We start from the raw sequence: 16967 nt of genomic DNA on the forward strand, positions 1-16967 counted from the left end.
ACTAGGGAAACAAGAGCAGGCAAAAATGGACAGCTGAGCCAGTCAATCAGTGGACTTAAGAGAGGAGGGGAGATCTGCCATCTCCTGGAACTGAGGGTGCACTGTGGCTTTTCAGGTACCTGAACCACATCCTAGTCCCAATAATTCTAATAATATTAATACTAACAGTAATAACAACAGTAACAATGAGCATGTACTGAGCTCTGATTATGTGCTAAGGAGTGTTCTAGGTGCTTTTATAAGTATTATCAACTCATTCAATTCTCACAACCCTGTAAGATACATCTGGGTGCTGCTGATGCTGATGAACAGACAAGTTAAGTTATTTGACCAAGGCCACAGAGCTTATAAGTGGCAGAGACATAATTTAAGCTCAAGTGGTCTGGCTTCATGCCTCTGCTCAGTCTGTGCCTCCCTGTGGGGCTAGTCCTGAGTCTCCTGTCTCCTTTATTGCCCATCTTTACAATAAAGCCCCTCCTATTAAAGAGGCCCTACAGAGGGTCTTTTACTCTTCTATTGTCTCACAATTAGCATTTTCCTTGGCTCCACTCATTATGAATCTTATTAACTGACACATACACACACACACACGCACACAGAGTTTTTGAGAAAGGGTCTCACTGTGACACACAGGCTGGCAGACAGTGGTGGAATCACTGCAACCTCAACCTCCTGGACTCAAGTGATCCTCCTACCTCAGCCTCCTGAGTAGCTGGGACCACAGACGCATGCCACCATGCCCAGCTGTTTCTTTTTTTTAGATACGGGGTCACACTATGTTGCCCAGGCTGGTCTCAAACTCTTGGGCTCAAGCAATCCTCCCACCTCAGCCTCCAAAGCATGAATGTAGTTTTGAATCCAGTTTTTGTTATCCTTTCATGCCACTAAATATTCTTTGAAAGCATGACTTTTAATGACTGCATTATATTCATTTATTTAACATTTACTTAATCACTTATTTATTTAACACTTAACATTAAGTGATCACTTGAGTCCAGGAGGACGACGTTGCAGTGATTGTACCATTGCACGCCAGCCTGTGTGTCACAGTGAGACCCTTTCTCAAAAATAGTCATCTAGCTATCTCTTACTTTGCTTTTATAATTGTGCTAATGTCAATATCTTTATACACAAATCCTTGTGCACAGGTAGGATTATGCTATAGAATAAATTATAGAAACAGAAGTATTGGATCAAAGAGTTTGAACAATTTAAGTTCACTTGATACACAGTGCAGATGGCCTTCGGGGAAGGCCTAGACCCCCTTTGGCTACATAAAAGCTCCAGGGTCTGGGCATGGTGGCTCACACCTGTAATCCCAGCACTTTGGGAGGCCAAGGTGGGAGGATCACTTGAGCTCAGGAGTTTGAGACCAGCCTGACAGTACAGTAAGACCCTGTCTCTACAATAAATTAAAAAATTAGCCAGGTGTAGTGGTGTCTGCCTGTAGTCCCAGTTACTTGGGAAGCTGAGGCAGGAGGACCACTTGAGCCCAGGACGTCGACGTTGCAAGAAGCCATGACTGCGCCACTGCACTCCAGCCTGGGCCACAGGGCAAGACTCTGTCTCAAGAAAAAAAAAAAAAAAGAAATCTCCATTCACCATACCCTTGACAACAATGAATGCTGCAGGTTTAGAAAACCTTTATCTTAATTTGATTTCTTGAATGGGTCAGAATAATGCATACATTTAAACTCTATGCTCCTTAATAAAATGTCAAAGGGCCATTTGCGTGTTTATTAAGAGCAAAAGCCTATAACCTACAGTCTCCAATGTTGAGACCACTGACGCCTTAAAATGCTTTAGAATTTCAGAAATGGAAATCAGAGATCACTGAGTAAACAGCTTCAGTGAATATCTAAGGTAACCAAAACTCAGAGAAGTTAAATGACCTGGGTAATATACTTGACTTGCAACTAGAATCTAGGTGTCTTGCCCTGTGATTCATTTCTTTAGAACAGATTCCTTCATTAACCTAATGGAAGCAACAAGCCATTGTTACCGGGGTGAAAGTATAAGGAAAAAAACTGCACAAGAATATATTTGAAAAAGAAACTACAGTTGTTCTAAACTCTATTTTATCTTCATAGTACCAAGTTAGAAAAAGTTATTTTATAGACAAAAGTAAAAATTCACACCTAGTTACTACTTTATTTTCAAGATCTCTGCTAAAATCTACAAATAATTTTTTTCCTAGGACCATTAAAATATTCAGCACATACCCATTATCCTCTCATCCAGCCAACATTTACTAGGTCTATACTATGGCCAGACCCTGTGCTAGGTGCTGTAGTAAAAGGGGGCAGAGTACCAAGGTAAGAAAAGAGGGATTCATTTTAGGGACATGTGAGCAAATCATCACAGTGAGTGTGACTGGGCAGTAACGGGGTGCACATGATGCCGTGGGGGTGCCGGAGCAATGAACATGGAAGGCTTCACAGAGGCACGTGAGCTGTGCCTGTGCTTGAAAGCAGGGGAAGAAGTGGATTAAGATAAAATAAGAAGAATAAGGAGTGGAGGGGCAGGGCCCACTGGAGAAGGCTGCTGTCACATGTGGCTAAACACAGCAGCCTGGGAAAATTAGTGCTGGTGGGAGATGAGGCTGGAAAGGTGGTCTGGGATCAGGCAGTGTTCAGGAGTTTGGACTTCGCCTGGAGGTGTTAGGACTCATGTAAGCTGTTTAAGCAGCGATGCCATGGTCAAAGTGGCGCATTACCAAGCTCATTCTAATGGCAGTACGGGGAAGGACTGGAGACTCTGAAGGCAGGAGCTTTATCTGTGTTGGTACAGACAACCAGGTTGCAGGCTTAAATTAGAGAGAGGCAGAATAAATATGAAAGAGGAGATGAGTTTGAGTAATATATATTAGAAAGAAATAATAAGACATAGAGACTAATTAGATGTGTGGGTGTCATTAATGAGACAGGCAATGAAGGAGGAAGGCCAGGTTTTGGATGAAAGGGATTTGTACACATTGAGCTTGAGATCGAGTGAGGTATCAGAAAGTGAATGAAATATCCAGAAAGCGAATGAAAATACAACTCTGGAGATCAGGAGAGGTATAAGCAGAGTCATAGATCTGAATAATTAGTATACAGCTACAACTCTCCTACCAATCTCCCCCTCCCCTCCACCCCCATCGCCCACACACTTGGATACTTCCTCTTGTCTGTATATAGGTAGAACAGCACTGTCCACTAAAAATACAATGCAAGCCCCATGCATATTTTGCAATTTTCTAATAGCCACATTAAAAAAGTGATGTGGAAAACAGGTGACATTAATTTTAAGAATATATTTTATTTAACCTAATGTATTTACAATATCATTTCAACATTAATATAAAAATTACTAACGAGATATTTTATATTGTCCTTTCATACTAAGTATTTAAAATCCAATGTGAATTTTCCACTCATGACCCAGGCCATCTCAATTTGGACTAGCCACATTTCAAATGGCCCCTGCTTTGGACTGTGCAGGACTACACAGTAGCCTACCAGGGTGATTAGGCACCAACATGAACTTTTTTAACCCTTGAAATTTGTGGAATTAAATTAAATGGAATTTAATTTTACTGATGAGAGAACAATGAGGAAGCCCGCTGGGCCCTCCAAATCACTGCCCACCCCACCCTCCCTTCTCAGAGGGAGTGCAAAGGGGCAGTGTTACATGCTGTTGGAAGTTTAGGAGACATGAAGCATAGAAAATCATTTCCTCTAAATGTTGCCTTTTAGGTTATTAAATACCCTGACAGCAACCTGACTGAATTTAGAGCCATGAATTTGTTATCTCTTAATGTGGATATATATCTGGTCTCCTGATAAATTTCCTAAGGCTGTTGTTCCTAAACTTCAAATATTTGCAAACTAACTTCATAATTTTGTCATGCCTGCATACCACCAAAACTATATGATTTGTTTAATATTTTTATTTAACTCAACTAACCTAAAAAAATCTAAAGACATATTTAGTGTCATCCTAAGTAACTATATCCATGAAATCATGAATTTCATATGTTGTTGTACATTTTTTCTACTACACATTAAAACAAATACATATTTAAATAAAGAACGTTTATCCATGTCTCCTAAAATCACCTCACAAACCACCTGTGGTATGATTATCAAACTTTGAAAACACTGTTCTTGGGGAAGGGAAAGGAACGTAACACTATAGGATCCCCTCTCTATGCCGCCAGTGCTCCGTGGGGTGCGCCTATCCTAACTCACCGAATCCCCACTCTCCTATGAGCAGGCTGATGGTCACTGCTACCCACTGGTTGTCTTTCAGGCTTGCATTTATTCTGGCTGATTAGCACTTGTGTCTGCCCCGCGGTCAGAAATTTTATATGGCAACCTGTATTAACTATAAGGAAATTCTTAACAATTTTTATTTTTGTTTTTAATTTTTGTGGGTACACAGTCTTTGTTTTGATTTTCCAGAGGTTACAGAGCTGCCAAGTCTGGGATTTGAGCTTTTACCTATAAACATCACAAGGCAGAGGCAACTACAACACCTACCATAATGCCCTCCTAAGAGGTGTTCTATTTGTTGTTGTTAACAAAATGATTTTCAATTATGAATTATCTTAAAGCCCAAAGACTTTAAGAAATAAGAGTTGGTAAATTTCAATGATGGGGATGCGTAGTACCAAAATGGTTTAAAACAAATGTGTTATATATTAACATAAGTGCTTCTTAGTGTATTAAATAACAAGATCTAGTGGCTAGTCTAATAATTACTATAATTTCAAATGGTAATACATATAAACAATATTAAAAGATATCTGAAATTGTAGTGTGTATTAGTTAGTCTATTGTTGTGTAATAAATTAGCCCAGAACTAAGTAGCTGAAACCAATAAACATTTACTTTATCACAGTTTCTGTGGGTCAGAGATTTGGGCACAGCTTGGCTGGGTACCTCTGGCTCAAAGTCTATCACAAGACTGCACTCAAGGTGTCAGCTGGGGCTGTGTTCCCATCTGAAAGTTTGGGGGAGAAACTGCTTCCAAGTTCACTCACATGTTGTTGGCAGGATTCATTTCCTGACTGGCTGTTGGTTACAGGTCTCCCTCAGTTCTCTGCACATGCATCTCTCTATAAGGCAGCTCTTAACACGGTAGCTGGCTTCCCTGAGAGTGAGCAAGAGAGTGAGAGAAAGCTCCTAAGAAAGAAGCCACCGTCTTTTTATACCCAAATCTCAGTCTATGAACTAGATGGGAAAAATAGTACCTCTTTTTCACTAACCTCTAGCTGAAATTTTGCATTTCTTTGATTATGAATGTAGCCAACAAACTGCAGTAGCATTAACAGCACTGTGACACCATCACCAATAGAGCTCATAGATATTTTATTTCATTTTGTGGCAGGCAGCTTATAAGATGGTCCCCAGTGATCTCCACCTGCTGAAATTCATGCCTTGGCATAAGTCCCTCCTCCTGAATATGCACTGGATTTAATAATTCACTTTTGGTGAATGAAATGTGTTAAATATTAACACAGAAAAAACCCCTGTGTTAAAGGATGCAGTCTATCTTGCACCATCTGAAAAATCAGTCTGGTGCTTTGTGGATGGGCACAGGGATTCCTCACATACCCCTGGAATCCACCATCTGTGGGCATTTACTGTGTTTGTGAAAGATTCTTAAAAAAAGAAAAAAAAAACATGTGGTACTGCTAGTGCAGCTCAGAAATAGATCAACTTTGAAAACTTCCCTCACAGCTGCAAAAGGCAAGTGTTTGGCACTAATAAATCAGAATTAGTGGAGCTCAACTAATAATGAACCTTTCATCTCCTCTGGGCAGGTGGTCACCAACTGAACTATGGGAGCAAACAAGCCATGGTTAGATGTAATAACCACATTTCTAATGACAGGTAGGACTAGAGCAGAAAGTGAGTGGAGGAGAAGTCTTCCCGCAAAATTCAAATCTTCTTAAACTTGGGGCCCTCTGAAAACATTAATCAAAGTTGTGTTTCTAGGGGCTGGGCTGACCTCTGCTTATTACCTTTCCAGTCATAACCACTGCAGGTATTTTTCTTCTCGCTAGTGAAAAACAGCCTGGGATGCTATCGACAGGCCCCTATCAGAGAACCAGTGAACTAGGGACACAATTATAGGTTTCAATTTTCCCCTCCTAGACGCCAATCCAAATTTGTCATCACCTGTTCAGAGAAATGCCTTCCATGTTTCATCTCACTTGGGTGGAAATTGGGTGATATTCAAAATATTTAACAACCAATGAGGCACAGGCACTAACCAATTAGGACAACATAAGATGCTGGAGCAGGGTCCAGGGGCACCCTGTGCTGTGCTGGCATTCATCCTTTAGTTGTTGAATTATGGGAGAAGTCTTAGGGGTTCTGGGGGTGTGCTCAGGGGGCTGAGGGTGATGACAATTCGCCAACTGGTTTTTAGGCATCTCATTATTTTAATACCCAGGATGTCTGCACCAGTGCACACAAGATTGAATATTCACTGTGGAGGGGGGTTGGGGCTGCTGCTCCCAAGGGCCCCCATGGAAGGCTACTGGTGTGGAAGCTGACCCCATCGCCCTACAGCGTTCTGACAACTGGCACTATGGGGACAGAGCCCTGTCCATTTTTCTGAGCCCTGAGCTCAGGCCAGAGCCTTAAGGTCCTGGACCACTTCCAAGGCTTGCAGAACCCCTCACTCAGGTCTCCTTGGGGCGGCTGGCTGGCAGTCTCCCAGTTACCAGGCACTTTCTGGGAGCAGCCAGGGACAGCTGCTGCCGGCTGGCATCAATGGGCTTCTGTGCAACTGAGGGTTGAGTGGAAGTTTCCTTGTGGGTTTGATGGAGGGCATGTTCTCAGTCCACAGGTGTCATACCACCCGAGTAGCCTCACCACTGTACAGGATACAGGCCTAAGAAAAGACTTGGCTCATGAATCCCCTCACTTCGAGGATTGGTTTAGCAACTTCCTCAGCTTTCTGAATGAGGTCTCAGGTTTTAGGCTTATCACAAAGGAGATCATTCTGCATGACCTCTTGGTCTGCATTATTTCACTGAAATGCCCGGGTTTGTTTTACTTTACTCCATGCTTCTGGAAAGCAGGCTGGGGGGCTCTGGATGCACATAGACCTGGGTCTGAATTCCAGCTCTGTGGAATGCATCACCACTTCACTTCACCTCTCTGAGGCAATTTCCACCTCTGTCAATGGGGCTCATGGGAGTGCCTGCCTCATAGGCTGGTGGAGGGTCCAATGAGATAATTTAAAGACAAATTTGATAACTGTTTTCTTGTAAGTTGAGGGAAAGATTAATTCAAAACTTTTAGTCTCAGTTTGGGCTAGGAAATGCCAGTGTTATTCCAGGGTACTAACATAGGTATTTTAAAAATAAGATGCTTTTTGCTTTCACAAGCTGACTAAAAAGTAAAGACAAAAAGTGACTTCAGAAGTCAAATGTAACTCAATAGTCTTACATGCTTAGATCCAACCCAGAAGAACTCAGGGTTCTCCTTCCTGAATGAAGATAATTTGAAGTTGCATATTTCGATCCATAGTTGGCTGAACCCACAGATGCAGAGCTTGTGAATATGGAGGGCCAGCGGTATCTCCTTTTCTACAGGAAGACGGCATAGTTTAATTCATTAAAATTTGTAAAACTACATAATATCTGTTTCAATGACAAAAAGCAATTTCAATTATATTTAAGATGACATTTACATAAACATAAAAATTATAACCGTCTCACAATACTCTCAACTACCTTGACATAAAAGCAGAGGAAAGCTTGATTTGTTAAGGTATTGCTTTTGCTCATTTTGTTTAAAAAAACTTCTTTTTCTTAAAATAAGAATTATGGAATCATTAAGTTTTAAGCAATAAGAAGCAAAGTTCGAAACAAGAATCCTGATTCTTCACTTCTGTTTACCCAAAAGAACATTCTCTCTCTGATTTCAGTCCCAGAAATCAAACCAGTGAACACATCACTATGCAGAGTCACATTCCATGTTTTTAATGGAAGTTTTAGAAGCTACAGATGAATTTAGGAGTGATATTAAACCAAGACCATTAAGAAAGATGACTTTTTTCTAGGATTCTAACTCCTATATTCAGACACACATATCCAACTGCCCACTTGACATCTCCACTTGGCTGTCTGTCTCATAGACATTTCAAACTCACTATATCCCAAACAAAAGTCTTAGTATCTCCCCTCCACCCCAAATTGCTGTACTCACAGCCCGCCCCATCTCAGTCTGATGGCATTTCTATTCTTACTACACTTAGGCCACTTCCTATTTTCCTTAACTCCTCTCTTTTGCTTATTATTTTTCAATCCAACTGCCAATCTTGCTGGTTCTACCTTCAAAATAACCAGACTCTAATTACTCCTCAACATCTTTACTGCTAACCCTTGTCCATGGCACCAGCATGTCTCACTGGAGTATTTCAATAGCCTCCTAACTGGTCCTTCTCTTCCACTCTTGTGCTCCCACAGTCTATTCTCAATACAGTGGCCAAAGGGAGCTGTTAAATTTAAAGTCAGATCATTGTCTCTTTTTGGATCAAAATCCTCCCCTCACTCCCAGACTCTGGGGGGAAAGCCAGAGTCCTACCATGACCAACATGGCCCTCCAGGATCTCACCTCCAAATTACTGGCTCCATGTTACTCCTTGAATACTCCAGGCATGTTCCGCTTCTGCGTCCTCAGGCTTTCCCCATGTGGCTACATGGTGAATTATCTCACCATTTTCTCCATGACAGCTGCCCTTACCAGCTCACCTACACCCATCCTCCACCACTGTGCTCTGCTCCTCCTAGCCCCGCTAGACTTCTTTCTCCACAGCATGTATCCCTTCTAAATTCCTAATATACATCACCTAGTATTTTTTAGATTTATTGTTTTTTGTCCACATCTTTTAACTTGAATATAAGATCCACATGGAAGATACTTAATAAATAAATCTGAATTAAGGGAAAATGCCAAACAAGAAAAACAAAGAGAAAAAACTTTGAAAACATCCAGTGTCCAAAAAAAGGTCTTATGATTTTCTTTTCTTTTTCTTTTCTTCTTTCCTTCTTTCTTTCCTTTCTCTTTCTTTCCTTTCTTTCTTCCTTTCTCTTTCTTTCTCTCTTTTTCCCTCCCTTCCTTCCTCCCTTCCTTCCTTCCTTCCCTCCCTCCTTCTCTCTTTCTTTCTCTTTCTTTTTTTTTTTTGAGACAGTCTTCCTCTGTTACCCAGGCTGGAGTGCAGTGGTGTGATCATGGCTCACTGCAGCCTTGACCTTGACCTGCTGGGCTCAAGTGATCCCCCTGCCTCAGCCTCCTGATTAGCTGGAACCACAGGTGAATGCCACCAAACCTGGCTAATTTTTAATTTTTTGTAGAGATGGGGTCTTCCTACGTTGCCCAGGCTGGTCTCGAACTCCTGGCTCAAGCAATCCTCAAGGCCATCTCGGCCTCCTAGAGTCCTGGGATTACATGCATGAGACATCACACCTGGCCAGGCCTTGTGATTTCTAATAGCAGGACCCATGTATTACATCTCATTTTTTAATTTTAATAATGTTTGTGGCATTTTGAAGAGGAGCAACAACAAAGTAAGCCTGACACTTAGGAGAGGCTGCTGTTTACCCTGAAAAGACCCCTAAGAGTGGCATTCTTGGGGAGGGGTAGAACACTACATCAAGCACAGAGCGTTATCATAGAGGTCCCCACATCTCCCTTTTATCTGGGAGCCAGAGGGATCAGACTCAGAATGTCTGAGTAAAAATTCACAAGAGGCTGCTGGGCACCCCGGAATCTACAAAAAAATGCCATTTCTTTCCAGTGACCATGTCCATTGTCCAGAATATACCTTTCTGAGCTAATGGTACCCAGGAAGTTGACTTAGCATTCAGAATGTGGTTCAGGGGTGTTGGAATCAGTGCTAAGGATGGCTAACCCTTCTGAGGACTGCTTAATCCATGCCGTGGTGAGCCCTGATAATGCATCACAACAGACACTTCACAAAAGATCTTCATCCATACTTACCAATCCACACTCATGTCCACAAGATTCAGGACCTATTTTCCAGGCCAATACTGGGCAACCATTGGAAATTTTTCCTCTCTGCTCCATGAGGACCAGTTCATTGCCCACAACCTTTCTCCAGGTAGGATGGATTAGCTTTCTACCCACAAAATTCCAACCATATGGCTGTGCTGTCTTCCAGGAATTACGTAGAGCTCACTTTGCTGGAGTTCTGGAAGTTCCTCAAATCTTCAATCTGTTACTCTACTCCCATTAGGCACAGATCTGGCCTCTGTAGATCCCAGAGGTGCACCTACTTTCAGATTCCCAAGTCCTTGGGGCCCTTCAACATTTCCCCCTTATGTCACCAGTGTGTAGCCAGGGGCCTTGTTCTGCACCCTCTACCATCATTAATGAGCTACTTTGACCATAGACAAATCACCTAATCTCTCTGGGCCTTAGTTTCCAAATCTAAAAATAAAAGGATATAACTCTCTAAGGTCCCTTCTAGTTGTAAAAAATCCAAGATTATTTTTTTCCTACCTCTTTAAGATTTAAATGATGACAACAGCATCTTTCCTAAACTTTTCCTGAGGCCAGATGTTCCTGGCACTGAAGTAGAGGAAAAAAATAGTTTTTGAATAACCTAACATTTTTGCCTTTTAGAGAAAATTATCCTCTGGCCTTTTTAGTTCCCCTTCCCTTACAGCTACCTCCTTATGGACCCTTAAAGGAAGTCTTTAAAACATAGAGAGGCTGAGGCAGGAGAATTGCTTGAGCCTAGGGGTTCGAGACTGCAGTGTGCCATGACTGTACCTGTGAATAGCAACTGCACTCCAGATGGAGTTCGGCAACATAGTGAGTCTCTCTCTATCAAAAAAAAGTAAACTATTTATCCTTCCTGATTCATCAGGATCTTATAAAAAACATTGTTATTTTCCAAATTATTTTTCTTACATAAAACCTCTTAAACAGTTTTATTCTGATAACTATGCTCATCAGCCTTGACTTTCCTCTGTTTTGCAGGGAAGGCTATTAAATGCTCTGGGGAAGAGGAATAAAAAGCTCAGAGACAGGGCCAGGGAAGGAAGCATGCTGTCCATGTAGGTAAATTCTGCCCTGAGCTTTCACAAGGTGATGGGCATGAAATGGCAGAGGCGAAAGTAGGGAGTGGAGAGAAGGGGAAAAGAAGAGGGAAGAAGAGAAAGTCTGAAAGCATATATTGTTTGCTTAGAAAAAAGTTTTAGGAGAGGTCTGGTGGCAGTTCAAGAATGTTCACTTAGTTAGATGACTTCTAAACTGGGACTTGCCTAAGAAGCCACACTGCAGGGAGGAGGCGGAGGTGGAACAGCAGTTCTCTTCCTTTAGCAGCCCTCCATCTAGCCTTCCGCGTAGCAGGCTGGTGAGGTATTGAGCAGCCCCTCTATTGGCCCCGCACCCAGTTTTCAGAAGTTAAGTTCATTCTACAGGTCTCTAAATGCTTCAAGGACGACCAAATCTATCCATTGTTGGCCTGGAAATCAAAGAAGACATTCCAAATCTTCACCATTCAGTAAAGCAGTGACTTACTGAAAGAATTACAGTTTACTAGCAAACCCCCCAAATGAATCTCTATGTATAATACATGCATAACTTCCTAGTCTGAAGATAGCAGTATTCCAAATAATTGTAGGCTCCAAGATATCACTTAGTGACTTCTAATTTAGGAAACATATGCTCTAGAGAATTCCTCCCATTATACACACACACATACACACACGTATATTTGTGTGTGCGAACACATATCCTACTATAACAAATGACTCTGTTTTTAAGCCACTCTAGGTTACAAAACAATACAATGAGTTAACTTAAAATATGTCATATTAAAATCTGGGCATGAACGCAACTAGAAAGGAAGCCTAATTCATACCAGAAAATATCAAAACAAAGTCTGGTAAGTGTCTAGCTAGTTAGACAGTCTCAAAGCAGTAGCTTCTCATTAGCATTGAGAAATAACAATCTGAGTGGTAATGTGAATACCTACTGTGGAACTGGTACTGGATGTTGTATAAGCTGGGAACAGATGCCTCTTAAATTCAGTTTGTTGCACTATGACAGGGTTCTACTTCAAGGACTCATCTTTTCCCAGTTTATTCTTTTCCAGGAAAAGCTTTCTATGCACTTTCATAGACAAATGCAACTCTTCTTGTCATTTTCTGGTTCCTTTTTTTGGGAGAAGGGGACACTTAGAGCTTTTTTTTCCCCTTTAAACAGCACCAACCTTCTGACTGATGACGAAATAGAGGGAAATTGAAATGGCAGAGTAAAAAATCAATCAGGCACATAGGCAATCCCTTCCCTGGTAGAGTTACAGAGTATACATTAGTATTCATGATATTTTAGTTAGGAGACAACATCTCCAGCAAAAGAATCACCACACAGCACTGTGTCAGGCCGTCTATCACATCTTTCCTACCACTTCCTTGCACAGAATCTGTAATCCAAACACCTACCATGGTCACCCCTCCAGAATAGCCCCATTGGTCTTGCTCCTTTTCCTGGGACAACAGCCCAAGTCCCCTCTGCATCCTTACTGCTCAGAAGCAAGACATGAACATTTTGTTTGAGGCATTCCTGAAGAAAAATGATAATGATCTTATAATATGAGGTATCTTCAAGTTTGTGTTTTGGGAGGAAGAGTGGTATAAGAAGACACAATTGCTGGATAATTCTCAGAAGCCAAACATAGAATTACCTATGATTCAGCAATTCCACTTCTGGGGACATACCAAAGGAACTGAATCCAGGATCTCAAAGATATGTGCAAACCCACGTTCATAGCAGCATTAGTCACAACAGCGAAAAAGTAGAAGCAGCCCAAATGTCCACTGATGAATGAAGGGATAAAGAAAATGTGATATATACATACAAATATGTTTGGCCTTAAAAAGGAAGGAATGTTTGACACGTGCTAACAACATGGACGGACCTTAAGGACATTACGCTAAGTGAAATAAAGCAGAAACAGAACGACAAATATTATATAATTCTACTTATATGAGGTACCTAGAAAAGTCAAATTCATAAAGACAGAAAGTAGAATGGTGGCTGCCAAGAGCTGGGGGAAAGGGAATGGGGAGTTGTTGTTTAATGGGTTTAAGTTTCAGTTTTGCAAAATAAAGAGTTCTGGAGATTGGTTGCACAATATGAATATACTTAACGCTACTGAACTGTATCTTAATGGTTAAGATGGTAAATTTTGTTATGTGTCCTTTATCACAATTAAAACTCCCCCAAAACCTATAGTTCTTAGTATTTCCCAATATGATGGTGATAACAATAATACCTTACAAATGTCCGGGAACTTCTTTCTGAGAAATCCAGAGACCTGGGCCTCCAGATTTGTTCATGCCAACTCAAAACGATACCAAGGATGAGTTCAGTTGTAAAAGTTGCACTTATCAGAGTTTAACTTTCTTTTCCCCACTAGCATGAATGTTTGGTATATATCACCATTTTATCCCTCTGAAACCAGGGTCACTCAGACATCTGTGGATGTCGACCCGCAGTGCCACTCTGGTATTATCTGGGATTCAGGGAGGAGAGGCCTGCCTATGTTGAGGAAGAAGAGAGATTTGTGAAGTTAGCCTCATTCCTCTTCTATTTAGAGAGTTCAGGAATGTGTCCATACTGTTCCTCCCCACAAAATTTACCATTTTTTCTCCAGATTAAAGGTGACTTCATCTCTTTCCACTTTGACCTTTAAACTTAACTCAGTATTCAACTTGGCAGTCATTCCTATCTAAAAATTACACACAAGATTAATACTCCAGGTGCTCTCTACCACCCAACAGGATCTGTTACCTTCTGCCATTCTGTGTCTCCACTCGTTCTTTCAGAACCTGGGGATCAGAGGTTTTGTATAATGATGACACTTTATAAGCCATTTTTTGCATCTCAAACACAATGGAACACAGCGCAGTGAAAGTGGAAAGATGGGGAAGGGGCTGAGAAATAGGAGAGAATAAGGACCCCCAGAAGAAATACAAACAGCTTTTGGAAGGATGCATTTACAAAAATGACATCAGGCAGCTGGGTGCAGTGGCTCACACCTGTAATCCCAGCACTTTGGGAGGCTGAGGCGGGCGGATCACCTGAGGTCAGGAGTTCAAGACCAGCCTGACCAACACGGTGAAACCCCGTATCTACTAAAAATACAATATTAGCCACGTGTGGTGATGCATGCCTGTAATCCCAGCTGCTTGGGAGGCTGAGGCAGGAGAATTGCTTGAACTCAGAAGGCAGGGGTTGCAGTGAGCCGAGACGGTGCCACTGCACTTCAACCTAGGCGACAAGAGCAAAACTCCATCTCAAAAAAAAAAAAAAAAAAAAAAAAAAAGACATCAGGCCCATCTGGAAAGTATTCTAACAAAATAAAAAGATAAAAAGTCCCTTTCTACTGTGAGCAGCAGATTTGCAGAATATAAAACTTCTGAAACAGCAAGGCTGTATAGCCAACTAACAAAGCAAAACAAAACTGAAAGAAGAGCTCCTTCGAGGGATGTCCAGCCACTGCTAAGTTGTAAGCCTCTTCCTGGGGCTCAAGGGCAGTACCAGGTACAAGAGGCCTTCCTACTGCAGTTCCCAAGTGCGTGTCTCCTACAGGCATTTGTGCAAAGGGCTCCAACCAGTGATAAATCCAATCTTCCCTCCATCCCTCCAAACCTGATAACAATGTGGGCTGGCTCTGTCAGAGCTAGCACGGGGTTTCTGAAACCACTAGGGCTGATATGTCCAGCTTAGAATCTTCTCTTATTCTCTGTCAGCTTTGTCTCCATTTTCTTGTACAACTTGGTGGTAAAATATGAAAAAAATGTGGCAATTGGAGGACAGAATCAACCATGATTTTTCTCTTTCATCACTGTTCTAGTTATTTGGCATTACTAGGATATAAACAAGTTGAGTCCACGAGCCCCTCACCCCTTCGTTGTTTATCATACAGACACATTTTACAACACTTTGGGCTAGAATGAAGACATGAAACAGGAAGTTCCTGATCTTGCTCTCCTCTCCTCCTTATCCTCCCTGTCTCAGTTAACACAATAACACAGTCAAAGATGCCGTCTAGTATGTTTCCCAAAAACACCCAGAAAGAGTTCAGCAGCCTCTCTGGCTAACCTGTCCTAGAGCTGCACAGCAGTCCAATAATGTAGGAACTTCCTTCTCTTAACTTGGATTTGAGACGTTTTCTTTTTCCACATACAGGTCTGAAAGCAGCAGGCCACTGCGTAATTAAACTGTCCCTCATTGGCCTCAGGAAGAATAATCTTGGGCCCTTTCTATGTTTCTGGACGGCTGCTTCCCAACCCTCTAGCCGTCTTTCTGGCTCTTTTGCAGACTCTTCTCTAGGAAGCACAAGGCTGAAGACATAAAGCTCTGGCAACCGTCACACCTCACGGCCTCTTCACGGCCTGCTGGGCTTTGCTCTGGGCTGTGCCTGCTCCTTAAACTCTGGTGCCGGGAAAAGGATTTCCTCGTCTCATATTCAAGCTGTCCCTACTGCTGCTTCTCTACTCCTGTTTTGTGTTAGTAAAAGAAGGAAGGAAAGAAAAGGGGGAAGGAGGACAGTAGAAAAAATAAAAAAAGGAAACTTAAGAATTTATAATGACATACTATTTTAACATGAAATACAAGCCAAAAGATGAGTTTTATGAGATGAAAACCCCACAAAACAACAAACTTTTGCATATAACCTCGCAAGCACGTTTTTATGCACAGTATTTCTGTATTTTCTAACACCCTTTGAATGCCCCACAGATGTCTGCAAACACAGGCTGATCTGTCCCGTTTCACATTTACATTAACAGGTAAAAATGACAAGAGGCCTAGCTGAATTCCACGAAATAAGTTATTTAAAGAACATCCGAAGTTTTGTTCTTTCAGAAGCAGAGAAGTTCTAAACAGGGAAGCAAGAGATTCTGAGAATTTCATTTTCACCATAATGGCTCAGCGTTTGTTCCTCTAACAACGTGCAGTTAACAGCTGTGCGCTGGCTCTTACATTCAAAGCCAAAAAGCAAGTTCTTCACATTAAAGAAATCGTTAAAGACAGTTCAAGGAAAGAGAATTAGGTATTTTAGAGTGGCTACGAAAAGTTTTCCAGGGGGCAAAAAGCACTAACCTGTATTGTTTTAATCTGCTGAAAACAACCAACTTCTCGAGTTCCCCTGCTGTCTTCTAGCCAGTTTCCTGTAAATGTTGCATGTGACATTATACTTCCTCACTGCACCTTCTTTGACTCGCCTCCCTAACCGGTCAGAGGCATGTGATAAGATCAATTTGCTGCTTGCTTCACATGGGGGTAACCCTGTGTCTGCAGAAATGATTGTCTCCCCCAGCTTCTTTCAGGTGTTCCCAGGACACAGGTAAAGAGGAGATAAGCCAGGGGGAAGTCATGCCTGGACTCCAGGCACTCCTGACTCCAAAGGAACCTGAAGGGGGAAGGGAGAGACAGTCTTGAGCCCCAGGGTCACCTATCTTGAGACTGGAGTTCAGCAGCTGAGAAGGGGCAGAGCGCTCACAGAGGAGCCTGGGGCTTGGGTGCTCTGCTGTCATTAGGACAGCCCCTGGGACTGCCACCCTCAGGGCAGCTGAGGAAGGGCCCTCGACAGTGCTGCACCCAGGATGTCCCCACACTCCTCTCTGGAGGGCACCAACATCAAGGGAACACACTCAGGCCTTGGTTCATATTTCTGGATCCTGCAGCAACCATGGCTACACACCCTGAATTTCCTGGGACTCTCTCAAGTTCACATGTGGTCATGCTGTCAGACAGTGTGCCCCAATTGTTGGTTCGGAAAACAAAACCACTGTATTCTCAGCCTTCCAGGGCTAAATAACTGGGAGACATTTCCCTCCTGCTGACCTCCAAAATATGCCAGCATTTTGGTTTCCCTTGAAAGGGCTGGGCATCATCTTCCTCCAGGATGGTGCTGGGTTCCTG

The 16967-nt window shown here is 42.2% G+C and overlaps 1 protein-coding gene across 17 annotated transcripts in view, besides 3 other annotated features; it reads right to left on the reverse strand.

The window, feature by feature from the left end:
• The window catches only part of WIPF1 (WAS/WASL interacting protein family member 1), a 123340-nt gene that overhangs the window by 58799 nt on the left and 47574 nt on the right, over positions 1-16967 (reverse strand). For 3 of the 17 annotated variants that reach the window (NM_001375839.1, NM_003387.5, NM_001375837.1), the window contains exon 1: positions 16146-16233. The gene's annotated coding sequence lies outside the window, so the exon portion shown is untranslated. 17 annotated transcript variants of the gene reach the window in all.
• Positions 14534-14673: an enhancer, noted in NCBI's record as "active region_16782". NCBI's record gives its function as "activates an Ori minimal core promoter by ATAC-STARR-seq in GM12878 lymphoblastoid cells {active_cell/tissue: GM12878}" and the evidence as "EXISTENCE:reporter gene assay evidence [ECO:0000049][PMID:35858748]".
• Positions 16367-16416: an enhancer, noted in NCBI's record as "active region_16783". NCBI's record gives its function as "activates an Ori minimal core promoter by ATAC-STARR-seq in GM12878 lymphoblastoid cells {active_cell/tissue: GM12878}" and the evidence as "EXISTENCE:reporter gene assay evidence [ECO:0000049][PMID:35858748]".
• Positions 16427-16516: an enhancer, noted in NCBI's record as "active region_16784". NCBI's record gives its function as "activates an Ori minimal core promoter by ATAC-STARR-seq in GM12878 lymphoblastoid cells {active_cell/tissue: GM12878}" and the evidence as "EXISTENCE:reporter gene assay evidence [ECO:0000049][PMID:35858748]".

The sequence above is a fragment of the Homo sapiens genome, chromosome 2 (assembly GCF_000001405.40).
Source record: "Homo sapiens chromosome 2, GRCh38.p14 Primary Assembly".
NCBI classification, from domain to species: Eukaryota; Metazoa; Chordata; class Mammalia; order Primates; family Hominidae; genus Homo; species Homo sapiens.